Genomic DNA, 27630 nt, shown 5'->3' with positions numbered 1-27630 from the left:
GCCAATCATCGAGTTTTGGCCAAAGGCGGTCAGCTGATCAAACCATGTTCAAATGGGGTGAATGCTGAGTTGTAAACAATCCAGCTGTTTCTGTACCTCATTCCATTTTCTGTACACCTCTTTCATTTTTCTGTCTATAAATCTTCTACTATGTGGCTGCACTGGAGTCTCTCTGAGCCTACTCTGGCTCAAGAGGCTGCCCAACTCACAAATTGTTCTTTGTTCAATTAAATGCTGTTAAATTTAATTTGGCTAAAGTTTTTCTTTTAACAGATGGTGTCAGAAGTGGGATCCAAAGTAGAGGTTCTAACAACCCCCAGGAGAGCTGAGCGACCAAGCGAGGTACCCACTAGGCCTATTGTGTCCATTGCTCTCTCACAGCAACTGGGGATCATGGTAAGTTCTCTCTCAGATTCAGAAGCTCCACATATTTGTGTTTTGAGCTCTCCTAGTTTCTTTGAGCAAATTTCTGATCCAAACTGGGTTTGGAAGTCACAACAGAAACTGGACTGGGTCTAGGATCAGACTGGATCTAGGATCAGACTGGATCTGATAATTAACTGTCTTGTATCCAGTAAGGGGGCTTCTTATATCTGACTAGGTCAGAAAAAAACTGGTAGTAAATGGAAATATTGCAGGCGGTATAAAGTTTAGCTCTTGGAAATTAGCAGAAATTTCTGTGTTCTACCCACTTTGTTTCATTTTTCTTGCACACTTAGATAGGGAAAAGTCATTGGCTAGGTTGACCAAGGAGGTCTGAGAGCCAAAGCCAATATTTGAGGTAAAAATGGGAACCTTAGTTTCTGAAGAACTGAGTAACTTCCAGCTTATACGTGCATAAGTATTAGGCCCCAGAAGCAGTAAAGTCTAACAGAAATGGCAAAATATTACTAAAGATAAGTTACAAATGTGGAATGTTCCAAATGAACAACACTGCACCAAAGATGTAAATTTGAAAATGATGGCTCCCCAAATAGTCTCATCTAGGGATGGCTATTGACCTGTGGAAGCTTCTAAAATTTTTCAATTTTTTTTTTTTTTTTTTAGGATGGAGTCTCGCTCTGTTGCCAAGGCTGGAGTGCAGTGGCGCAATCTCAGCTCACTGCAAGCTCCGCCTCCCAGGTTCACACCATTCTCCTGCCTCATCCTCGCGAGTAGCTGGGACCTGCCACCACGCCCAGCTGATTTTTTGTATTTTTTAATAGAGATGGGGTTTCACGGTGTTAGCCAGGATGGTCTCGATCTCCTGACCTCGTGATCCACCCGCCTCAGCCTCCCAAAATACTGGGATTACAGACGTGAGCCACTGCACTCGGCCAAATTTTTCAATATTTTTATTAAAAGACTCTTTATAAAAGGCAAATAAAAAGCTTAAGCAACTAAAGATAAAGTGTTTATAAAAGGCAGGCCCTCAGGCAAAATAGGCTTGCTTCTTTTTCAGATGCAACCATGCTGAGTCCAGGCATAGAGGATGCTTTCTTCCCCCTATTCCTTAATGGGCTCCACTCTGAACTCAGTAATTTTAGTTAAGAAACAGTAGCTAAATTAAGAACACCTATTGAACTAAAATATGCCTTTCTGGAATTTCATTGGCTATCTTGAAACCCTTCTGCAAAAGAAATTTACATCTATTAAGGAAATCACCATTTTTAAGGATGTCTGCCTGTGTATATTAGAAACTCTTCCCATTGTTTTAAATTGGCATAAGTCACACCTTTGATTAAGGTGCCTTTCTGGCCATGTTGTCTTAACTGAACTTTTATGGGAGCACCATTTTTTCCTTGGTTTGAGACAAATGATGATACAATATTTAGGCCTAAAATCTTAGCTATGTACATATGGAATATAATTTTTTGTTGTTGTACCTAAGAGTTATTTTAGAAATGCAAATTTGTTGCCTGGTTAACAATTGCTTAGGGCAATGAAACAAGTAACTGGAAGATTAATAGACCAAATAGGGAAAAGGAAAACTATTTAAAAGCTAGCAAATGAAAATCTTTCATGTCCATGTGTGTTATGTGTCTGTGATAATATTTGGTAAATAAAGCAAATTCTAAAATTGTTGCTAAAATAGGAATAGCTTCAAAATTATCAGTTAAATATAACAAGATATTTGCTTGATTGACTGTGAGCTGTTTTTGGTTTAGAGCCTCTGGATTTGGGGGTCTGCATAGGTGGACATGACGAGGTCTAGAGTCGTGTTCTTTTCATTTTTTTTTTTTATTATTTTTTTTTTGAGACAGAGTCTCGCTCTGTCACCCAGGCTGGAGTGCAGTGGCACGATCTTGGCTCACTGCAAGCTCCACCGCCTGGGTTAATGCCATTCTCCTGCCTCAGCCTCCCGAGTAGCTGGGACTACAGGCGCCCGCCACCATGTCCAGCTAATTTTTTGTATTTTTTAGTAGAGATGGGGTTTCACGGTGTTAGCCAGGATGATCTCAATCTCCTGACTTCATGATCGGCCCACCTCGGCCTCCCAAAGTGCTGGGATTACAGGTGTGAGCCACCACACCCGGCCTAGAGGCATGTTCTTAGTGCCTAGACCATCAGCTACAAGCCAGAACCAAGCCCAATATGCTCCCTTCTCCCCTGCTTTCCTGCTTGCCTACTGGCTATTTGGGGAGGGGTTGAATCCTCCAGATATAGTCTTCACAGCCCTGTCTTCTATCCTGACCATTGCACCTGGTATGTCAGGACTCAGAGAGGCCTTGACCTTCATAAGCCTCCTGGGTACCATGAGGCTACTTGGCACCCAGAATGACTAAGGGAAGACATTAAGGAGGGTACCTGTGTCATATTTTCAAAATTATTTTCAGTAATTTAAAATCTTCAGGTCATGTTATATTAAATTAAATAATAATCATAAAATGTCTGAGTCATTTATAAGTTAAAATATTGAAACATTAATTATTAAACATGAGTTTGTCTGTATACGTTGATGTTATTTTTATATGATACAGAAAAGCTACATATATTTAGGTCTGTTAAAAAACAATAATTTGAAGAAAAATCTTTCTAAAAACTTAAAAAAATAGTTTTTATCACAAATACTGATATAAAATTAGTTCGAAATTATTTTCTAGGGTTTTAATCAGAAATTAAGGTTACTAAGAGTTAAAATTTTAGTTGATATATGTAATTAAAGCTACTAGAGATGAAACAATTTTGTATACATAGTGTATAAACAAAAGCAAGATATGTTTCAGCTTTCTACATATGGCTAGCCAGTTTTCCCAGCACCATTTATTAAATAGGGAATCCTTTCCCCACTGCTTGTTTTTCTCAGGTTTGTCAAAGATCAGATAGTTGTAGATATGCGGCGTTATTTCTGAGGGCTCTGTTCTGTTCCATTGATCTATATCTCTGTTTTGGTACCAGTACCATGCTGTTTTGGTTACTGTAGCCTTGTAGTATAGTTTGAAGTCAGGTAGTGTGATGCCTCCAGCTTTGTTCTTCTGGCTTGGGATTGACTTGGCGATGCGGGCTCTTTTTTCATTCCATATGAACTTTAAAGTAGTTTTTTCCAGTTCTGTGAAGAAAGGCATTGGTAGCTTGATGGGGATGGCATTGAATCTGTAAATTACCTTGGGCAGTATGGCCATTTTCATGATATTGATTCTTCCTACCCATGAGCATGGAATGTTCTTCCATTTGTTTGTATCCTCTTTTATTTCCTTGAGCAGTGGTTTGTAGTTCTCCTTGAAGAGGTCCTTCACATCCCTTGTAAGTTGGATTCCTAGGTATTTTAATCTCTTTGAAGCAATTGTGAATGGCAGTTCACTCATGATTTGGCTCTCTGTTTGTCTGTTGTTGGTGTATAAGAATGCTTGTGATTTTTGTACATTGATTTTGTATCCTGAGACTTTGCTGAAGTTGCTTATCAGCTTAAGGAGATTTTGGGCTGAGACAATGGGGTTTTCTAGATATACAATCATGTCATCCGCAAACAGGGACAATTTGACTTCCTTTTTTCCTAATTGAATACCCTTTATTTCCTTCTCCTGCCTAATTGCCCTGGCCAGAACTTCCAACACTATGCTGAATAGGAGTGGTGAGAGAGGGCATCCCTGTCTTGTGCCAGTTTTCAAAGGGAATGCTTCCAGTTTTTGCCCATTCAGTATGATATTGGCTGTGGGTTTGTCATAGATAGCTCTTATTATTTTGAAATACATCCCATCAATACCTAATTTATTGAGAGTTTTTAGCATGAAGGGTTGTTGAATTTTGTCAAAGGCCTTTTCTGCATCTATTGAGATAATCATGTGGTTTTTGTCTTTGGCTCTGTTTATATGCTGGATTACATTTATTGATTTGCATATATTGAACCAGCCTTGCATCCCAGGGATGAAGCCCACTTGATCATGGTGGATAAGCTTTTTGATGTGCTGCTGGATTCGGTTTGCCAGTATTTTATTGAGGATTTTTGCATCAATGTTCATCAAGTATATTGGTCTAAAATTCTCTTTTTTGGTTGTGTCTCTTCCAGGCTTTGGTATCAGAATGATGCTGGCCTCATAAAATGAGTTAGGGAGGATTCCCTCTTTTTCTATTGATTGGAATAGTTTCAGAAGGAATGGTACCAGTTCCTCCTTGTACCTCTGGTAGAATTCGGCTGTGATTACACCTTATACAAAAATCAATTCAAGATGGATTAAAGACTTAAACGTTAGACCTAAAACCATAAAAACCCTAGAAGAAAACCTAGGCATTACCATTCAGAACATAGGCATGGGCAAGGACTTCATATCTAAAACACCAAAAGCAATGGCAACAAAAGACAAAATTGACAAATGGGATCTAATTAAACTAAAGAGCTTCTGCACAGCAAAAGAAACTACCATCAGAGTGAACAGGCAACCTACAAAATGGGAGACAATTTTCGCAACCTACTCATCTGACAAAGGGCTAATATCCAGAATCTACAATGAACTCAAACAGATTTACAAGAAAAAAACAAACAACCCCATCAAAAAGTGGGCGAAGGACATGAACAGACACTTCTCAAAAGAAGACATTTATGCAGCCAAAAAACACATGAAAAAATGCTCACCATCACTGGCCATCAGAGAAATGCAAATCAAAACCACAATGAGATACCATCTCACACCAGTTAGAATGGCAATCATTAAAAAGTCAGGAAACGACAGGTGCTGGAGAGGATGTGGAGAAATAGGAACACTTTTACACTGTTGGTGGGACTGTAAACTAGTTCAACCATTGTGGAAGTCAGTATGGCGATTCCTCAGGGATCTAGAACTAGAAATACCATTTGACCCAGCCATCCCATTACTGGGTATATACCCAAAGAACTCTAAGTCATGCTGCTATAAAGACACATGCACACGTATGTTTATTGCGGCATTATTCACAATAGCAAAGACTTGGAACCAACCCAAATGCCCAACAATGATAGACTGGATTAAGAAAATGTGGCACATATACACCATGGAATACTATGCAGCCATAAAAAATGATGAGTTCATGTCCTTTGTAGGGACATGGATGAAATTGGAAAGCATCATTCTCAGTAAACTATCGCAAGGACAAAAAACCAAACACCGCATATTCTCACTCACAGGTGGGAATTGAACAATGAGATCACATGGACACAGGAAGGGGAATATCACACTCTGGGGACTGTGGTGGGGTGGGGGGAGCGGGGAGGGATAGCATTGGGAGATATACCTAATGCTAGATGATGAGTTAGTGGGTGCAGCACACCAGCATGGCACATGTATACATATGTAACTAACCTGCACAATGTGCACATGTACCCTAAAACTTAAAGTACAATAAAAAATAAATAAAAAAAAGCAAGATATGCTTTTCATGAGGAAAGTTAAAAAAGCACAAAGATATGTGTTAAAAATATTATCTGGTTTGAGGTTTCTTATAGGTTTCAAATTGAAGGAGTAAAAAAATAGAAAAAACAAGATGAATATAGAAAGCTGGAAAATGCAAAATGAAAGGTTTATGGAAATCTTGTGTGGTTAAGAGAAGACAGATTAGATAAATTTATTTATGAGATTTTATTAAAATTAGCTTTAGTATTTATAATACACTAATACAAAAGTAAAATTTAATTTCTCTTTTGAACAAAAATTTGTGTAGCATTTATTAATAAGACACAGTAAAATATTTTCATTTATGCGTTGAGTAAACTGCAAAAAGGAAAAAAAGGAGGAGGAAAAAGAGATAGGATCTGTCATGCTGTCTTAGGTCTTATAACTGAAAGACTGAGTCTCCTCTATCAAAGAGTACAGGTTTCTTCTTTTTCAAAAAAAAATTCTTGTAATTATCACTTTGGCTAAACGAATGACCATTATTTTATGGTGACCTGTGATCCTATCTTGGTCAAGTGTTATAAAACCTTGACAATTTGATGGGCTTCCCAAAACCAAATTTCAGGTCAAAATTAAGTCTCTTTCAGCCTCTAACTTTGGGATGCTACAGAGGGCACCTGAAGCAGCCAAAAGGAGATAAACAGGATTATCTGAAAGGTTAAATTACACGGGAAGCACTGTCAAACATGAAATGATTTTTAATCTTCAAGTTACATTTTAATGAATATGTTATTAATATATGTACCAAAATTGTATGGGATTTCTAAAATTCTAGTATGTCTGGGCATATGCTATCAGTCATATTTATGGTTGTTATGTTATTATAGGCCATATAAATGACAACATTTCCTTGTCAATTATGTCTTTATAATCATTTAAAGTTATTTCCACAGTTAATTGCTTAATTTTAACGCAGTTCCTGAAAACTTTACAAGCATCCAAAATCCTAGAGTATGGTATCTTTAAGGAGGTTCATGAAAGGATAGAAAGGACCCCGACAAGCACTCTTGAATACAGGTTTCTGGTAACTTTAGGATCATATAATTTGGATGGGGTAAGAATTCCCAGAATTTAAGGCTGATCGTGGTGGCTCATGCTTGTACTCCCAGCACTTTGGGAGGCTGAGGAGGGTGGATCACAAGGTCAGGAGTTCAAGAACAGCCTGGCCAACACAGTGAACCCCATCTCTACTAAAATACAAAAATTAGCTGGACATGGTGGTGGGCACCTGCAATCCCAGCCACCCAGGAGGCTGAGGCAGGAGAGTCGCTTGAACCCGGGAGGCAGAGGTTGCAATGAGCTGAGATTGTACCACTGCACTCCAGCCTGGGCAACAGAGCTAGACTCCATTTCAAAAAAAAAAAAAAAAAGAATTCTCAGAACTTTAATGAACAGACTGACTAGTTTATAAAACTGCTAACCCAAGCAGGACAAAAATATTCAATACCAAGAAAATACTTTGTCAGATTTTTATGCTAAACCAGACAGTACTGAAATTGTTTATATATACAATGTGAACGAACTCCATGATCCAAGTCAAAATACCTATAACTTTCAGTTATCAGTGCTGTGAACCTAAATTGGAGAAACAACTGTTATTTAAGAGGACATTAAGTCCAACATTAAGCATGGACTCATGGAGAACCTGGACAGCCACCTTGTGCTTCCTGAGTCCTTAAAGCTTTTGTTATTAAAAGCTCTGCATTCTATGACTCATCATGGAAGAGATAAAATTATCCAAATTAAAAATGTATTAATTGGAAGGTGGTCACATAGGAACAGCTCTGATCTGCAGCTCCCAGCGTGACTGACACAGAAGACGGGTGATTTTTGCATTTCCAACTGAGCTACCTGGTTCATCTCATTGGGACTGGTTGGACAGTGGGTGCAGCCCACGGAGGGTGAGGTAAAGCAGGGTGGGGCATCACCTCACCCAGGAAGTGCAAGGGGTTGGGGGATATCCCTTTCCTAGCCAAGGGAAGCCGTGACAGACTGTACGTGGAAAAACGGGACACTCCTGCCCAAATACTGCCCTTTTCCAACAGTCTCAGCAAATGGCACACCAGGAGATTATATCCCACGCCTGGCTAGGTGGATCCCACGCCTGGCTAGGTGGGTCCCACGCCCATGGAGCCTTGCTCACTACTAGCGCAGCAGTCTGAGATCAACCTGTGAGGCAGCAGCCTGGCAGGGGGAGGGGCATCCGCCATTGCTGAGGCTTGAGTAGGTAAACAAAGCGGCTGGAGGAAGCTCAAACTTGGCGGAGCCCACCGCAGCTTAGCAAGGCCATCTGCCTCTGTAGACTCCACCTCTGGAGGCAGGGCATAGCTGAACAAAAGGCAGCAGAAACTTCTGCAGACTTAAACCTCCCTATCTGACAGCTCTGAAAAGACCAATGGTTCTCCCAGCATGGTGTTTTAGCTCTGAGAACAGACAGACTGCCTCCTCAAGTGGGTCCCTGAACCCTGAGTAGCCTAACTGGGAGATACCTCCCAGTAGGGGTTGACTGACACCTCATACAGGAGGGTGCCCTTCTGGGAAGAAGCTTCCAGAGGAAGGATCAGGCAGCAATATTTGCTCTTCTGCGATATTTGCTGTTCTGCAGCCTCTGCTGCTGATACCCAGACAAACAGTGTCTGGAGTGGACCTCCAGCACACTCGAACAGACCTGCAGCTGAGGGACCTGACTGTTAGAAGGAAAACTAACAAACAAAAAGGAATAGCATCAACATCAACAAAAAGGACATCCACACCCAAACCCCATCTGTAGGTCACCAACATCAAAGACCAAAGGCAGATAAAACCACAAAGATGGGGAGAAACCAGAGCAGAAAAGCTGAAAATTCTAAAAACCAGAGCACCTCTTCTCCTCCAAAGGATTGCAGCTCCTTGCCAGCAACGGAACAAAGCTTGACGGAGAATGAGTTTGACGAGCTGACAGAAGTAGGCTTCAGAAGGTCGGTAATAACAAACTTCTCCAAGCTAAAGGAGGATGTTCGAACCCATCACAACGAAGCTAAAAACCTTGAAAAAAGATTAGATGAATGGCTAACTAGAATAAACAGTGTAGAGAAGAAGACCTTAAATGACCTGATGGAGCTGAAACCATGGCACAAGAACTACAAGACACATGCACAAGCTTCAATAGCTGATTCAATCAAGTGGAAGAAAGGCTATCGTTGATTGAAAATCAAATTAATGACATAAAGCGAGAAGAGAAGTTTAGAGAAAAAAGAGTAAAAAAAAAAACGAACAAAGCCTCCAAGAAATATGGAACTATGTGAAAAGACCAAATCTACGTTTGACTGGTGTACCTGAAAGTGATGGGGAGAATGGAACCAAGTTGGAAAACACTCTGCTGGATATTATCCAGGAGAACTTCCCCAACCTAGCAAGGCAGGCCAACATTCAAATTCAGGAAATACAGATAATGCCACAAAGACACTCCTCAAGAAGAGCAAACCCAAGACACATAATTGTCAGATTCACCAAGGTTGAAATGAAGGAAAAAATGTTAAGGGCAGCCAGAAAGAAAGGTCAGGTTACCCACAAAGGGAAGCCCATCAGACTAACAGCGGATCTCTCGGCAGAAACTCTACAAGCCAGAAGAGAGTGGGGGACAATATTCAACATTCTTAAAGAAAACAATTTTCAACCCAGAATCTCATATCCAGCCAAACTAAGCTTAATAAGTGAAGGAGAAATAAAATTCTTTACAGACAAGCAAATGCTGAGAGATTTCGTCACCACCAGACCTGCCTTACAAGAGCTCCTCAAGGAAGCACTAAACATGGAAAGGAAAGACCGGTATCAGCCACCGCAAAAACACGCCAAATTGTAAAGACCATCGATGCTAGGAAGAAACTGCATCAACCAACGGGCAAAATAACCAGCTAACATCATAATGACAGGATCAAATTCACACATAACAATATTAACCTTAAATGTAAATGGCCTAAATGCCCCAGTTAAAAGACACAGACTGGCAAATTGGATAGAGTCCAGACCCATCAGTGTACTGTATTCAGGAGACCCATCTCACATGCAGAGACACACATAGGCTCAAAATAAAAGGATAAAGGAAGATCTACCAAGCAAATGGAAAACAAAAAAAAGCAGGGGTTGCAATCCTAGTCTCTGATAAAACAGACTTTAAACCAACAAAGATCAAAAGAGACAAAGAAGGCCATTACATAATGGTAAAGGGATCAATTCAACAAGAAGAGCTAACTGTCCTAAATATATATGCACCCAATACTGGAGCACCCAGATTCATAAAGCAAGTTTTTAGAGACTTACAAAGAGACTTAGACTCCCACACAATAATAATGGGAGACTTTAACACCCCACTGTCAACATTAGACAGATCAACGAGACAGAAAGTTAACAAGGATATCCAGGACTTGAACTCAGCTGTGCACCAAGCGTACCTAATAGACATCTACAGAACTCTCCATCCAAATCAACAGAGTATACATTCTTCTCAGCACCACATCGCACTTATTCAAAAATTGACCACATGATTGGAAGTAAAACACTCCTCAGCAAATGCAAAAGAACAGAAATCATAACAAACTGTCTCTCAGACCACAGTGCAATCAAATTAGAACTCAGGATTAAGAAACTCATTCAAAACTGCACAACTACATGGAAACTGAACAACCTGCTCCTGAATGACTACTGGGTACATAACGAAATGAAGGCAGAAATAAAGATGTTCTTTGAAACCAATGGGAACAAAGACACAACGTACCAAAATCTCTGGGACACATTTAAAGCAGTGTGTAGAGGGAAACTTATAGCACTAAAAGCCCACAAGAGAAAGCAGGAAAGATCTAAAATAGACACCCTAACATCACAATTAAAAGAACTAGAGAAGCAAGAGAAAACATATTCAAAAGCTAGCAGAAGGCAAGAAATAACTAAGATCAGAGAAGAACTGAAGGAAATAGAGACACAAAAAACCCTTCAAAAAATCAGTGAATCCAGGAGCTGGTTTTTTGAAAAGATCAACAAAATTGATAGACCTCTAGCAAGACTAATAGAGAAGAAAACAGAGAAGAATCAAATAGACGCAACAAAAAATGATAAAGGGGATATCACCACTGATCTCACAGAAATACAAACTACCATCAGAGAATACTATAAACACCTCTATGCAAAAAAACTAGAAAATCTAGAAGAAATGGATAAATTCCTGGACACATACACCCGCCCAAGACTAAACCAGGAAGAAGTTGGATCTCTGAATAGACAAATAACAGGTTCTGAAATTGAGGCAATAATTAATAGCATACCAACCAAAAAAAGTCCAAGACCAGATGGACTCACAGCCGAATTCTACCAGAGGTACAAAGAGGAGGTGGTACCATACCTTCTGAAACTATTCCAATCAATAGAAAAAGAGGGAATCTTCCCTAACTGTTTTTATGAGGCCAGCATCATCCTGATACCAAAGGCTGGCAGAGACACAGCAAAAAAAAGAGAATTTTAGACCAATATCCCTGAGGAACACTGACACGAAAATCCTCAATAGAATACTGGCATACCAAATCCAGCAGCACATCAAAAAGTTTATCCACCACGATCAAGTCAGCTTCATCCCTGGGATGCAAGGCTGGTTTAACATATGCAAATCAATAAACATAATCCATCATATAAACAGAACCAATGACAAAAACCACATGATTATCTCAATAGATGCAGAAAACGCCTCTACAAAATTCAAGAACCCTTCATGCTAACAACTCTCAATAAACTAGGTATTGATGGAACGTATCTCAAAATAATAAGAGCTACTTATGAGAAACCCACAGCCAATATCATACTGAATGGGCAAAAACTGGAAGCATTCCCTTTGAAAACAGGCACAAGACAGAGATGCCCTCTCTCACGACTCCTATTCAACATAGTGTTGGAAGTTCTGGCCAGGGCAATCAGGCAAGAGAAAGAAATAAAGGGTATTCAATTAGGAAAAAGGGAAATCAAATTGTCCCTGTGTGCAAATGACATGATTGTAAATCTAGAAAACCCCATCGTCTCAGCCCAAAATCTCCTTAAGCTGATAAGAAAGTTTAGCAAAGTCTCAGTATACAAAATCAATGTGCAAAAATCACAAGCACTCCTATACATCAACAACAGACAAACAGAGCCAAATCATGAGTGAACTCCCATTCACAACTGTTACAAAGAGAATAAAATACCTAAGAATCCAACTTACAAGGGATGTGAAGGACCTCTTCAAGGAGAACTACAAACCACTGCTCAACAAAATAAAAGAGGACACAAACAAATGGAAGAACATTCCATGCTCATGGATAGGAAGAATCCATACAGTGAAAATGGCCATACTGCCCAAGGTAATTTATAGATTCAATGCCATTACCAATGGCATATAACCAATAACACCACACGTCTACAACCATCTGATCTTTACAAAGCTGACAAAAACAAGAAATGGGGAAAAGATACCCTATTTAATAAATGGTGCTGGGAAAACTGGCTAGCCATATGTAGAAAGCTGAAACTGGATCCCTTCCTTACACCTTATACAAAATTAATTCAAGATAGATTAAAGACTTAAATGTTAGACCTAAAACCATAAAAACCCTAGAAGAAAACCTAGGCAATATCATTCAGGACACAGGCATGGGCAAGGACTTCATGAGCAAAAAAAGAAAACTACCAGCAGCGTGAACAGGCAACCTACAGAATGGGAGAAAGTTTTTGCAATCTACCCATCTGACAAAGGGCTAATATCCAGAATCTACAAAGAACTTAAACAAATTTACAAGAAAAAAACAAACAATTCCATCAACAAGTGGGCAAAGGATATGAACAGACACTTCTCAAAAGAAGACATCTATGCACCCAACAGACACATGAAAAAATGCTCATCATCACTGGTCATCAGAGAAATGCAAATCAAAACCACAATGAGATACCATCTCACATCAGTTAGAATGGCAATCATTAAAAAGTCAGGAAGCAACAGATGCTGGAGAGGATGAGGAGAAATAGGAATGCTTTCACACTGTTGGTGGGAGTGTAAACTAGTTCAACCATCGTGGAAGGCAGTGTGGCAATTCCTCAAGGATCTGTAACCAGAAATACCATTTAACCCAGCAATCCCATTACTGGGTATACACCCAAAGGATTATAAATCATGCTACTATAAAGACACATGTATACGTATGTTTTTTATGGCACTATTCACAATAGCAAAGACTTGGAACCAACCCAAATGTCCATCAATGATAGACTGGATTAAGAAAATGTAGCCCATATACACCATGGAATACTATGCAGCCATAAAAAAGGATGAGTTCATGTCCTTTGCAGGGACATGGATGAAGCTGGAAACCATCATTCTGAGCAAACGATCACAAGGACAGAAAACCAAACACTGCATGTTCTCACTCATAGGTGGGAACTGAACAATGAGAACACTTGGACACAGGGTGGGGAACATCACATAACAGGGCCTGTCGTGGGGTGGGGTGCAGGGGCAGGGATAGCATTAGAAGAAATACCTAATGTAAATGACGAGTTAATGGTGGCAGCAAACCGACATAGCACAAGTATACCTATGTAACAAACCTGCACGTTGTACATGTACCCTAGAACTTAAAGTATAATAAAAAAAAAAGTATTAATTAGTGTAGTGACTGTTCCATGTTGCTAAAAGAGTTTACAACCAATGTTTGCTTTTCAAACCCATATTCCTGGAAAGACAACCAAAATTTCAGGTACATTTCTGCTAGCTGATGAGCCATTTAAACATTTATAGAAAGATTTCATTCAATTGTCATTTTCAATGCATGTCTTCTGGTTGTATAAAAGCTTTCCCATGCAAGAGGGCTGATGTTATAACATTAGCTCTATTTGTCAAAGTATATTTCCACCTGGTGAAGAAAGCTTTTCACAGTCTGCTGACTGAGGACAATCAACCCCTTCAAAATCTAGAACACAAAGATTGAATCTTCTGAGAATACCAGAGAAAGACTGCCCTTGCCATCTACATTGCAGCAACACTTTGGGACCTTGAAATTTTGAGTTAATAATCTCACAACTCAAAAGGGCCCCTCCACTCTTGGAACTGTACACCCATTGGCAACCTTAAAGTAAAGCTAAACAGGAAAGTTTCTCCCCAGAAGAAGATGGTATCCATGATATAGACAGCTTTTTCTCAAGATCACAGATCAAGACTTCTCTGCTATCAGGAGACTCTTACCTATTTTTTCTTGCTTATGCTTCCATGAACAATAGAAGTGAAAAGAGGGTCTATTGTGTGTATTCATAGAGTATACTTTAATTTGTGAAGGATTTTGCAGCCAGCCTTATACATGGAATACCTTATGCCTCAATAGATAAAAGACGAAGGCCCAATGCAGGTGAGAAATTTTAATGACACATTTGTTGCCTCATAATCAGTTAGAAACAGGACATTGGTCCACTCCTCTTAACCTACGTCACAGGTTAAAGAGAACATTTCCAAGAAGTCTTCATTCTTCTAAATAGACATCATTTGTTAGGTCTCCTTTTCCATGGTTTGAAGTAAATGAGGCAATAATTAGAAATGTATCCCTCATGATAGGCTTTATAGAAGATTCTACCCTAAAGGCTATGGTCACACAACAGACTTTGTATTCTCTTATGAAAGTTATGCTAAATAATAGAACTGCTCTAGATTACTTACTGGCTAAACAGCAGTATCTGTGCACTTGCTGGCACTTCTTGTTGGCCATGGAGAAATGCATCACATTGAGCATTATAGAGATTCAGTTACAGGGAACTAACAAAGAGACTGCTTATTTAAAACGAACAGACTCTTTATCTAGCTCATTCTTTGATCTATTTAATTTTAGTTGGTTTGGTTCATGGGGACCCTGGCTAAGAAGCATGCTCCAAACTCTTGGTATTATCCTCCTGATAGTCAAAATAGTAATCTCCCTAGTGTGCTATATTCTCTCAAAAGTTTTAAATGTTTGCATGCAGCCATCTCTAGAGTGCCACATGATCTCTCTTCAACTAGAAGGACAAGAGCTTAAAAAGATGTGTGACCATGAGGGCACTGTAACCTATGAATGACATCCTGAGACCAGAAACCCAAAATTGATGTTAAAAGAGAGTGGAACTAAGGCCCTAAGTTTTGGTCACACTCTCACCTATGTGAGAACCTGACTAAAAGGGGGAAGTTTTAAAATAAAATTATGGAAGGCCATTGTTTTGGACTGAACTCATGCACTAGGTCCCAACAGACAAGACCAAGCCAAAATGAAGTCACTCATGTTAAATGTGACATAATCAAACTAAGATCTTAAGGAAACACAAAGCTCCTAGAACAGACCAGGTTTTGTTTTTCTCCTCTAAACAGGACATTCCAGCATAAGGAAGTACCCTCTACTCTAACCTTTACAAAAAATAAACTAAATTCCTTGTTCCTACCTTACAAAATCCACTGTTCTGCTATTTCTCAGTGGGTTTTGAGATGAAATAAGCACATTTACAATGGTGATAGTGACATCAATGACTAGTTGTGGTCAATCTCTCAAAATTGAGAGGATGACCAAAAGAGGAAAATTGTTAAATCAAGTTTAGCCTAAAGCTGCCTCCTTACATCTTTTAAGCTCAGCCTAAAGGTTTCTCTGTACATAGTGAACTATAACCTAAATGGAGGTGGAAATAGACTGTAACCTACTCTTGTGCCAATCACTGAGTTTTGGCCAATCAAAGGAGGCCAGTTGTTCAAACTATGTTCAAATAAGGTAAACCTCAAGCTGTAACCAACCTGACCGTTTCTGTACCTCATTCTATTTTCTGTACATCTCTTTCCTTTTTCTGTCTGTCACTTTCCTTTTTCTGTCTATAAATCGTCTTTTACCATGTGGCTGTGCTGGAGTCTCTCTCAGCCTACTCTGGCTCAAGAGACTGCCCAATTCACAAATCATTCTTTGCTCAATTAAACTCTGTTAAATTTCATTTGACTAAGGTTTTTCTTTTAACAACATCTACAACCAGATCAATCCCTCTGAATAAGAAAAGCACCTATACATGCCTGCTAGCCAAAATGCAAGCAGGAACATTAGGAACTCATGTCAATGAACATAGGTGTCAGCAGCCAATATTTAAACTTGGCATGAAACGACACTAGGCTTTGTGTAAAAACTCCAAATGCACTGATACATCTTAAATGTCAGGTAATAGCACTTTAAAATTTAATAATGCAACTATGGAGAAAAAGACAATTTTCCTTAGATAACTACCTTGGAATAAAAGAAGTATTTGGGAATCTAATATTTCTGACCATTTTCTCCCTAAAAAAGCATCAGTGACATAATATTAAAATTATTTGCATAGGTTTTGCCCTGGGATATATGGACTGAATATAGCATATATGATTATAGTCTACATACATTATAAAGTTTCATCAATTAGAAAATACATGAATATTCAAACATTTATGCAACAGGCCTTACTTAAACAAGATCTGATTTAAACCAAAAAATTCTCTGGAAAATCAGAGGTCACTTTGACAACAGTTTTCGGTGCAATTTTAGGTAACTGCTGAGCAATCTAAGGATGTTAAACTCAAAGCCATTACATATTAAGTAAATCAGATTACGTAAGACTGTCAAAAGTAAAGAACCACATCTTTTTTGCCCTCCTCATGGAAACCATTAAAATTCTATAAATATGTCAGATGTTTAGTAAATGCCTCTTGAGAAGTACACATCTTTTGGAAAATAATATTTAAAACAACATAATCAGTACGGCTCACACTCACACATCTGTAACCATTTATTCAGAAACTGAAGCCCATCAGAAAGAAATCTGAGATGCCATGTGATGCTTTCTCTTTACCAGAGTATGATAAGATAGGCCAACTTCAGGTCAGCAAGACCCTGTTTTTTTCTCTATATTAAGCATACATTTGATGACACATAACCCACCAAAAAGAAGTTAGCAAAATAGCCTCTGACTATTAAGGGTTGTTAGGTATGTCCAGGAGACTGACCTTAGAAAGGCTCCTCTAGTTTGAAAATATTTGAGAAGGGAGCAGTTGAAGAAAAGGATGTCAAGTTCAGCTCACACGTTTGTCTGCTGACACTAGTGGTTTCACTTAAATTAGAAAATGTTTGTGCTTCCCCTGTGACAGTAAAAGCTAGGTAAAAGTTCAATCTGGAACTTCAAGAAACATATTCAAGAGAACAAAAACATTCCCATGCTTCTCAATTTAAGCCCAAGCCAGGAAAAATATACAAATTGTCAGCCCACATCACAAGAGGCTGAAGAAATGAAAGACAGAAGGGAAGTGAGGTGGGGCCTAAGAGAATGTAGTTTGGACAACTCCTAGTCCCCAGAGAATACAAAGCTTTTAAATGAACACAAAGAATAAAAGAGCTATAAAATCACCATTCCCATAGCAAATAACTTTCATTTTCAACACTTACTTGAAGGATATCAATATGCCATAAACAAATTGTCACCTAATATGCCAGTTTCTTTCAGTACGTTTTTCTGATAAGTACACTTTTTATCCCTTGTCTGTGCTCTAAGCCCCAGTGGAACTCCAGAGGCATCTGTCTTTTTGGCCCATAGTTCGAGCAGGACCAGGGAAGGCCTAGTGTCTAATCGAATTTCTAGCTTCTAAGATACCCTCCTCTCTGCCCTGCTTAGAGCCCCCATGGAGCTTCAGAAGGAACTAATTGCCAAAGAAGTATTCTGGGTAACTATAACTGTAGGCAAATTCTCCTCCATGGCTTGTGTAACCCACTTAGTAAAATAACAGGCTTACGGTCAAAAACAGAAGAACAACTAGATCCATGCAATAAAGTAGCCTATATCGTATGATAATACCTTCTCCATTTACTCTGGCATACTAAATAAATGCCCTGACACTAGGAGGAGCAACATGAAACCATGTCCTTTACCATAAAATCAATGAGAGCACACTTTATCAGGCCTCTGACATAAACAGAGTGGGAAATAAAATGATAGTGGTAACAGAGAAGGGGACGAAAACAGAACATGGTGAAGAGTAATAAAGAAAGCCACTGTCAATTGCCTCAGCACTACCCAGAAATTTGTTCATTCATTCATTCAACAAGTATTTACTGGATGTCTACCATATACCACGCCAGGTTACCAAGCCTGCCTTGGAAATCTAAAAGATCTTCACCCTGAAAAGAGACTGCCTAAGAATATCCAACTCAGTCAGTAAATATGCATCATTACTCAAATTGAAAGCAAAATACAAAGAAAGCCCAAATGAAGAGAATAAGTCTGAGAAATCCAAATCCTAGAAGGTAACATTTACAGCAAGCTCCAAAGGAGAGGATCTCTGGTAAAAGGAACAGCCTCACAGACACTTAGTTTTCTCATACCCATAAAAAAAATGCCCCCAACACTGACATCCATTAAAATAACTCTCAACTTGAACTAAACTTATCTAATAATTGAAATAAAAATTTTTAAGTTATATCTTACATTTAATAAAGGCCAAAATAAAATATAATAAAAACCAAACCACATACTATAATTTTAATAAAAACCAAACCGCACACTATACTTGTACCCACAGAACCATGTCAGAGAATGAAACCTGATGAAGCCTGACTGAGTGAAGACAACCAAAAACCAAGAAATTGGAACGGTAAAGAGAAAATACTTGAGGTTCACCAAAGAAAATGTACTTCAAACCACTATGACTTAGCATCTAATCAATTTTGTTATTGTAGAACATTTCTTAAGACTCAAGTGTCTTAAGTACCCAGAATTGGCCTCTATTAGTCACAGGCAATCCCGGAAACAATTCTGGAGAGGCAGGTGATTAAGAGGAATCCTCTGCTAGAAAGATACATATACACAGAAATAGTAGACCATGAAAATGTAATAGCCTAAGTATCTGAAAGAATAAATGAAAAATGGGAAAATGTTAACCAAGACAAGAAAACATTCAACTAAATGTTTTGTGTTCTCTACCAAGTCAGCACTAGGGAATATCTATTCTCATATAACATTAAGCCCAATTTGTAATATAAATTCTACATTGGTAAAAATATTTCTTACCTGAGACAGAGTAGACACAAAGTTTTCTAGAATGTAACACAGCCAAATGTAGCATTTCGGTACCTCTGAAAAACAGAGAAAGTTTTTAAAGTTTTCCAATATTAGCTTTAGACGTAACCAAAAAGTTGTAAAATAATTTCAAAAAGATCTCATAACCACAGCCACTGTGAGTAAACAAAACAATTCATTAGATAACATTCTAAACTGAAAAATAAATATAACAATAAACAGCCAATGTGACAACCCCAGAGGCTCAAGTACTCTGCCTCAAGGCACTGCCTTCAGATTGAAGCCAACAGAGCTTCCAAGAAAAAGTCAGATCTGAGGTCCTTCCCTAAGTGCTATTTCTTTCAATAAAGAAATCCAAGTTCTAGTCCTGGCTTTCTGACTAATTCATCCGTGACTTTGGGCAAGTCACTAAAATCTCCCTGAGCCTATTTCTCATGAAAAATAAGAGGTTCAATGAAATGAAATAAAATAATGTGAAACCATCTTGGAAAGGTTAAAACATCACAAAACACCAATCATTATTACAAGTAGCATATATCACTTCCATATCTGAAATTTTATTACAAGTATTGAAAATATTTCTGTTTGGACTAAATCTCAAATAGAAATAAACTACCAATATCACCACAACAATTCCCAGCCTATCTCAAGTGGTTTCCAGAAACTAGCATGGCACAGTCTAGAGATCCTAAATTCAGTTTTCAAGGATCAAGCCAGGGGTTGTTAATGAGTAAAGAGTGTAAATGGCTGTGATTAACTGGAGACTGAACCAGACTAAAGGAGGTGGCTATTACTTGGTTCTGGGCTTGGGGCCAGAGCCCCACATTTTTCAAGAAAAGCCAGAAAGCATTGGGTTTTATGTGAAATCTCTTGGTTCTTAAATGTTGACAGCTCTTTTAAATTTAAAATACTGAGCAGGCGGCCAGGTGTAATGGCTCACACCTGTAATCCAGCATTTTGGGAGGCTGAGGTGGGAGGGGGCGGTGGATCTCCTGAGATCAGAAGTTCGAGACCAGCCTGGCCAACATGGTGAAACCCTGTCTCTACTAAAAATACAAAAATTAGCCAGGCATGGTGGCACGTGCCTGTAGTCCCAGCTACTTGGGAGGCTGAGGCAGGAGAATTGCTTGAATCTGGGAGGCGGAGGTTGCAGCAAGCTGAGATCACGCCATTGCACTCCAGTCTGGGCGACGAGAGTGAAACTCCGCCTCAAAATAAAACAAAATAAAATACTGAACAGGCTCACATGTACAAGCAGGCCTCCAGTGTACAACGCCTGTTTAGAACAGACTGTTCTAAACTGCAAGGACTATAATTGAAGTCTGCAGACCTAGGTGGGGGTTCTGACTCTGCACCTTACTATATGTATGATCATTTAAACTTTCAGAGTGTTAGTATCTTATTTACAAATAAGAATCTTATTAGATAACATCTGCAAAACATTGTTACAATTAATATATACTCATCATTTGCTCTACTAGTAGAAAATGCAAATATACATGACTATCACATAATCAGTATCACCTTTGGAAATTTTGTATATGTACCCTGGACATTCAAAACAAGTTTTCCACCATGCTCAGGAAAAGAGCATGATGTCATAGAAAGGCCTAGTATACTATCTACTTAACAACGTTAACTTCCTCCCCTTCCAATGTGAGCACATAGATGAGGGCTATACTTAAGGACTACTATACAGAATGATTATTGGCTGTGTTTCACTTTTTTAATGGTAAGGTAAAAACACTTTTTAGCAGGAAGGATGCTTTTGTCTCCTTACTTTGTAAATCCATCACACCTAATATGTCCTAGGCACATGATGGGAACCTAATCACCATCTGCTTTTAGATGGAGTAGATATTTACCAACCACTTCGGTCACAAAATCTCCGCAATCCAGCCTGTCACAAAGCATAAAAGTCTCATCTCATATCCCAGCCTAAAGCATCTAAGCTACAGCTTCCCAACAGAATAAAACATATCACTAGAAGAATGTGAATGCTCATGAGTGGTTGTTTGGTTTTCAAGCAGGAGTTAGGGCCCTGACTAAATGGCCCCTGGGGCCAATAAATTATGATAAACAAATGTAGAATGCCAAAATCCAGAGCTTAGGGTACTGCCCAGATTTAAAAAGGCAAAAGGGAGCTCAAAAAGAGGAGGCAAACTGACTCTGGCTACTTGATAAGTGTTCATCGTACTTCTAAATGATGAAGAAATACAAGCTTAATTTTAAGAAAGTTTGTGTATGAAAATAAGAGGATCAGCAATATCATCAGTAAATAAAAAGCAGACATATTACCCAAAGTTCAAACTAATAAACAGTTTTCTAAAATAAATTAGATTTAAGAATAAAGTACTTTGAAACAAAGCTCTTGTAGGGGGAAGACTTACTTTGTGGGTTGAACTGACTTCTTTCAAGAAACGATAGGGCATCTCTACCCCAAATAACTATTCATTTTAAAACCTCAAAGCTATGAACCAAAAAGTAATGGTTATCTGCTACTTCATCTAATTATAAATGGACACTTATATAACTTTAAATAAGTAGATACTTCTTATTTATTTCTTTATTTGGTTATTTTCAAAAGCTTATCTCTTTGTTTTTAAGCTTCTGATAATGTCAGGCATCTTAAGTCTATTACTATTAAAAGGCCCTAAATTATTATATCTTAAATGTACAGTTTCCACATAAAAAGCATTCCATACGTGAGAAACCCCTAGGTGACAATATCCAGAAAATATATTTAATTCATGGATAGTCTTCTTTGAAGAATACACAAAAGTGACACTGTAAAGGATTGACATACTCCAAGTAAAATACCAGAATTAGTGGGCTTACTTACGAAACAAACTTTCCTACTTCCACTTGAAGTACTGGATCTCGTAGATCCACTTCTAGAAGCAAATCTTCGGCTTGAGCTCCATCTCCTGTTTTTGCAGGATGGGGGCTAAAGATCCTTAGGTATCCCATAAAGCTACCCACAATTATTTTATCTGTAGAGAATTTAAAAAAAAAAAGATAGAGGGAGAAACAAACATTAGCAAATCTCTTAGGAAATAAGCTTTCTAATGTGTAAAAGAGAAATCTAAAAATTAAAAGAATTCAGTCTTGCTTTATACACAAAGGCCACTCTGTCAAAAAAGGTGTAATTAAAGAGTACTTATTTTAATAACACACAGCTTTCATAAATAGCTTTACATCCCTATAGTCAAATGTACTAACATATTGCATTTTTTCCTAAACCTTTATTTGGTATCAAAGTCATAATTTAACTCAATCAAAGCAAGCCCCTTTATCAAAGGACTAGTACAATGTTGTAAACTGATTCCATCATAGAGGCCAACTCTATAACTGCTTGTGGCTGTCGAAAACACTGTATTAAAAAGGATTCTGAGTCGTCACTAGATAGAGTGCCTTGATAAGCAATGTTTCATCTTAAGTACAAGCAGGGGAAATGATAGAATGGGTGTTGTAAGTTAAATTGTGTCCCCCCAAAAAAAGATACGTTAAAGTCATAACCCCAGGTACCTCTGAATGTGACCTGATTTGGAAACAGAGTCTTTGCACATGTAATCAAGTTAAAATGAGGTCCAGTTAATTAGATGTGTGATCAAACTCAATTAGTGTCCTTTAAGAGGACAGAACAGAGACATGGAGGGAATGGCATGCAAAGCTGAGTGCAGTGGCATGCCCCTGTAGTCCCAGCTACTTGGGAGGCTGAGGTGGAAGGACTGCTTGAGCCAAGGAGTTCAAGGCTGCAGTGAGCTCTAATCGTGCCACTGTACTCTAGCCTGGGCGAAAGAACAAGACCTTGTCACTGAAAAAAAAAAAAAAAAAAAAAAAGGCTGGGTGCAGTGGCTCATGCCTGTAATCCTAGCACCTTGGGAAGCCGAGGCAGGCAGATCACTTGAGATCAGGAGTTCGAGACCAGCCTGGCCAACATGTTGAAACCCTATCTCTACTAAAAATAGAAAAAATTAGCTAGGTGTGGTGGCGCATGCCCGTAATCCCAGCTACCCAGGAGGCTGAGGCAGGAGAATCGCTGGAATCCGGGAAGTGGAGGCTGCATTGAGCCGAGACAGTGCCACTGTACTCCAGCCTGGGTGACACAGCAAGACTCCATCTCAAGAAAAAAAAAATCCTCATAATAACCCTATGAGAGAGGTATAATCCTGGGAACTTCAATACTGGAGGCTTACAAGGTCTCTGGAGCCATGCCCATTCCTGTCCCCACTAAAGGCTTGTTCAGTTCAACTCTGCCTGCATTGGGAAAGCTATCTTACATTCATTCCAGCACCTTCTGTACTTAAATCTATCAGTTTCCTGTCACTTGTGGCCAAAAAAAAAGATAACTGATATAGAAATGAGCACTAGAAAATAAACTGCAGGCATGCAAACATGCAAGCATATTTGGAATTGGTTCTTCTTTTTTTTTTTCCTTTGAGACAGGGTCTCACTCTGTTGCCCAGGCTTGAGTACAGTGATGCAATCACAGCTTGTTGCAGCCTCAACCTCCCAGGCTCAATTGATCCTCCCACCTCAGCCTCCTGAGTGGCTGGGAATACAGGCATATGCCTTCATGCCCAGCTAATTTTTGTATTTTTTGTAGGGATGTGGTTTTGCCATGTTGTCTGGGCTGGTCTCAAACTTCTGGACTCAAGCAATCTACCTGCCTTGGCCTCCAAAGTATGGGAATTGGTTCTTGACCTGAAATGCGGTACAAAACAGTAAGATTCCTTGTGGGGACAAGAGTAACTTTATTTTAAATGCTAATCTGCCATGTGACTCCTGACTAAACTCAAGTCCAAGAACTCCTCTAAGATCTCTAGTTGATGTATTACTCTTTATGCAGAAACATCTATTCATTTTAAGTTTTGCCTTTCCTCCAAAACAGCACTTGATGTTGCTGCATACATCATAGGCTGTGACACTCATAGCCACCTACACATTCTTCTCAGAGCATGTATACTTTTTTTCCCCAAGATACAAGCCCTGGGTCTGGGGGTTGTGGTGTGGAGAGCTGCCTGTCTTGCAACTGCCCAGGACATTTCTGCCCATAAGTTCACCTAATAAATCACTGTATACTGACAAACTGGATTTGTCTGCCTCAATCTTTGGTTCTCAGCTCCTTCAGTATTTGAGGGCCACTTTGCGTATATGCCCTTTCACAGAACACTCCCATTCATGTTCTAGGTGGGGTTAAGTATCACTTTACATTGTAACAGAACAATTAATCAAGTTATCATCTCTAGTCATCTGGGACCCTGTGCCCATTGCAGGTGAAACTCTAGTAGACTGGACAGCTGCTGCCATAGCCAGCTGAACAAGGAGGAACACCAAACCACATGTAAGATAGCTTTATCGAAGATAGCTTTATTTAAATTAAATTGGATAATTTAAAATAAAAGAATGATAGGTTTAAATCTCAAAATTGTCATCTAAGGGTAAAGAATAAAACTCAGGGTCTTTGGTACTCTGCAGAAACATTTCTCACCACTTACTACTCAGATAGTGGGGCTTAATCACTGAGAAGCTCATTCAGAGACTGATTCTTTAAGTTTTAAATTACAATAACAAATGACCTGACAAATCTCTCCAGCCTTCTTAAGTAAAAGTAAAGGCACTGATCAGGAAGAATGGAATTATACTGTTATAATGGAGTCCAGAAGGGTTGGAGAAGACTTAAACCTTTAAACCTTCCTAAAACATTCCCCGCTGAGCTTCCCATGTATCCTGTCATGCCCTAAATCCCCACTTTTACTCACTAAATAACCAAGATTCATGGATAGGTCAATATAGCCCTATCTTCAGGGATAAGAGGAGGTCAGGATGGCCAAGTCCACATGGTAACAAGCTAACCCACTGAAACAAAATGTATATGTACGACTATTAAAATACTTTGCAGGACTAGTATAGTAACCAGATCTCAGATAAGTCTGACTCTCACAGATTTCAAGCTACAATTAAATATGGGATTCCCCAGGAATTAATGAACATGCAGGCATTAAATGAAAAGCCATTAGTCAGTCTTATTTGCTCTCTACTCCAATTCTAGAAATAAACTTTCCCTCCAGGCCACAGGTTGGCATGTAATCTAAATTGTATTATTCAGATCCTCTCTCTCTCCCTCATTCTCACTATCTCTCTCAAGAGTCTGAATCTTGAGTTGAGAGAATTAGGAAAGTAAGTGCCATTTAAATGCATGGGGTGTTCAATTTCAATTGTACTATCAAGATTAACAAGGAATCCTTCTGTGTTTTACTCGGCTTCTTCTAAAGAATTTCAGGATCCCTGTAACTCTTCTCTCACTGTCTGATCACCTAAAAAAAAGTAGAGGTCAACTGACATTACTGTTTCAACCTCCCAACTTGACCTGCAAATTTCTCTACATCGGTATACATTCTTACCTTCTTTCCTCTGGCACTGTGGAAAAAAGCTTCCACATCTGTCCAAGGTTAATCCTTCCATCTGCACACCTGATCCCATCTCTGACTGTCCTCTCTGGGTCCCTGCTCCATCAATGAAAGCCTCTATTCTACACATTGAATTTTTCCCACTTCCCTTGACCCTCCATGGTCTCCAAATCATCATCCTCCCTTCTTCAATTCACAGCTAAGTTTCTTTAAAGAGCCATAAATAGTCTCCCCACCTCCCACTCACTCCCCATTCATACATTGCAAATCTAGATCTCATTACCATTGTGCCCACACATCCACTCTTGTCATGGACACTAATGAACCACTTGCTGCTAAAGAGCATGAAAACTTTTAGGCCAGGCTCAGTGGCTCACGCCAATAATCCCAGCACTTTGGGAGGCCAAGGCAGGAGGATCACTTGAGCCCAGGAAGTTCAAGACCAGCCTGGGCAACACAAGGAGACACTGTCTGTACAAAAAAAATAAAAATAAAAATTAGCCAGGCATGGTGGGGCACACCTGGGAGGTTGAGGCTGCAGTGAGCCATGATCATGCCACTGCACTCCATCCTGGGCAGCAGAGCAAGACCTGTCTCCATTAAAAAAAAAAAAAAAAAGGCCAGGTGCAGTGGCTCATGCCTGTAATCCCAGCACTTTGTGAGGCCGAGGCAGGTGGATCACCCAAGGTCAGGAGTTCGCGACCAGCCTGGCCAACATGGCAAAACCCTGTCTCTACTAAAAATACAAAAATTAGCTGGGTGTGGTGGCAGGCACCTGTAATCCCAGCTACTTGGGAGGCTAAGGCAGGAGAATTGCTTGAACCCGGGAGGTGGAGGTTGCAGTGAGCCAAGATCACACCACTGCACTGCTTCCCAGTTACCAGCCTAATTAGTTTTCCTGCCTCTCTGCCTGCTCTTTTCAGAATCTACTACTCTTCCCACACTTCCCCTGTTGATCCTCATATTCTCCAGGTTACAGTCCTATACCTCCTCCCCTCTTATTTCAACTTCTCTCCCTGTGCATTTTCACCTGTTCTCAGAGCTCCAAATATAAACACCATATTGTTCATCCCCAAATCTCTACCTCTATTCTGTAAACTAGACATTCCTATCTTAAACAGAGCATATCCAAAACTGCTCTTGTTAACTTTCCATTCTATAAGATCAACAAAAATAATTCTCAAACTTGAGAATGCCAGCATTCAATTTTGGAACTTATCAAAAATTAGGAAACCTAAGTCACATCACCCCACCTACCCCTGGAGAATACAATCTTATAGCATCTCATGTGTCTGGGATAGAAAATCTCCATATATAATAATCACCCCACAATATTATGACACAGGCTTTGGAACACAATGATGAGTGTTGTCTATGTGGAACACACATATGTAATGATTTTTGTATAGCAAGCTTCGGAAAACAGAGGAAGCTGCTCACAGCTCACCACAAACTGTGAGGGAAGCAGTATCTCAGCATATTCGTAACCTACTGGTAGCACCCCAGTAGTGAGCTCTAATAGAAATGAATGAGTGTACAGTATGTTATTCAGATAATCAGTAAGTATAGTTTCCAACCAAGCTGAACTTTAGATAGTTTAGGCAGAAGTGGGTTTGAAATTGTTCTCTCTGGCAGGTATTTCTGTGGCATGACTCTTACATGGCCAAATAACTGGGGCATCACATGCTTTAACAAATAGCGGGGGCAGAGGCAGGGTTGAGGAACCTTCCAATATCCTCTGAATAGAAGGCCTTCCCATCTCCTATCAGTGGAAAATCAGGGACCAAATTTTCCTTCAAAACAACTTAGTAGGTGCTCTGTGCAGTTTAGTACTCCCACTCTTCTGCTTTACCAATACAATTTTCTCCTTTCACATTTTCCTGCAGATCCCACTGTTTTAATTATAGGCAAGAAAAACAATTTTTAAAAAATGTAAGGGGATAATATTTATATGCAGTAAACAAAAGAATAGTTATAATAAGTTTTCTTTTTAAGAGGGTAATGACTAGATCACAAAAAAAAAGCCCATGACTATAAACCAAATACAAATTTCAAATAGCAATGATACAATAATACAGAATTAAACTGTTTGAAAGGTCACTTAAAAAACATGAAGATGCATAAGAATAAGCTAGAATGTAGGTTTTAGTATTATAATATGATAATGAAAGCAAGGATTTAACAATTGTTTTCTACCACCAAATAGAGCTAGTGTAATTTCATTATGGTATGAATGGTTTCCAGGTCCAATAAATTTATTTTTCTTGTAAAGAATTTCTACAAAAGGAAATTTT

The 27630-nt window shown here is 39.1% G+C and overlaps 1 protein-coding gene across 19 annotated transcripts in view; it reads right to left on the bottom strand.

Annotated features, from left to right (window-relative positions):
* The window catches only part of BBS9 (Bardet-Biedl syndrome 9), a 506483-nt gene that overhangs the window by 461151 nt on the left and 17702 nt on the right, over nt 1–27630 (bottom strand). For 13 of the 19 annotated variants that reach the window (NR_145412.1, NR_145411.1, NR_145413.3 and 10 more), the window contains 2 exons: nt 21766–21916; nt 18915–18979 (listed from right to left, as the gene is read on the bottom strand). The exons of 2 other annotated variants lie outside the window; for them this stretch is intronic. Coding sequence is in view for 12 of the 17 variants with exons in the window: in NM_001348036.1 (NP_001334965.1) it covers nt 18915–18979; nt 21766–21916 (216 nt within the window). In the remaining 5 variants the exon portion in view is untranslated. Of the gene's footprint in view, nt 1–18914; nt 18980–21761; nt 21917–27630 lie in introns of all 19 variants that reach the window. 4 more of the 19 variants (NM_001348038.3, NM_001348039.3, NM_001348037.3 and 1 more) reach the window with 2 other exon arrangements.

Source organism: Homo sapiens, chromosome 7 (genome assembly GCF_000001405.40).
Source record: "Homo sapiens chromosome 7, GRCh38.p14 Primary Assembly".
In the NCBI taxonomy this organism is placed as follows: Eukaryota; Metazoa; Chordata; class Mammalia; order Primates; family Hominidae; genus Homo; species Homo sapiens.
Note: the sequence above shows the minus strand (reverse complement) of the source record. Positions and strands in the feature narration are given on the sequence as shown.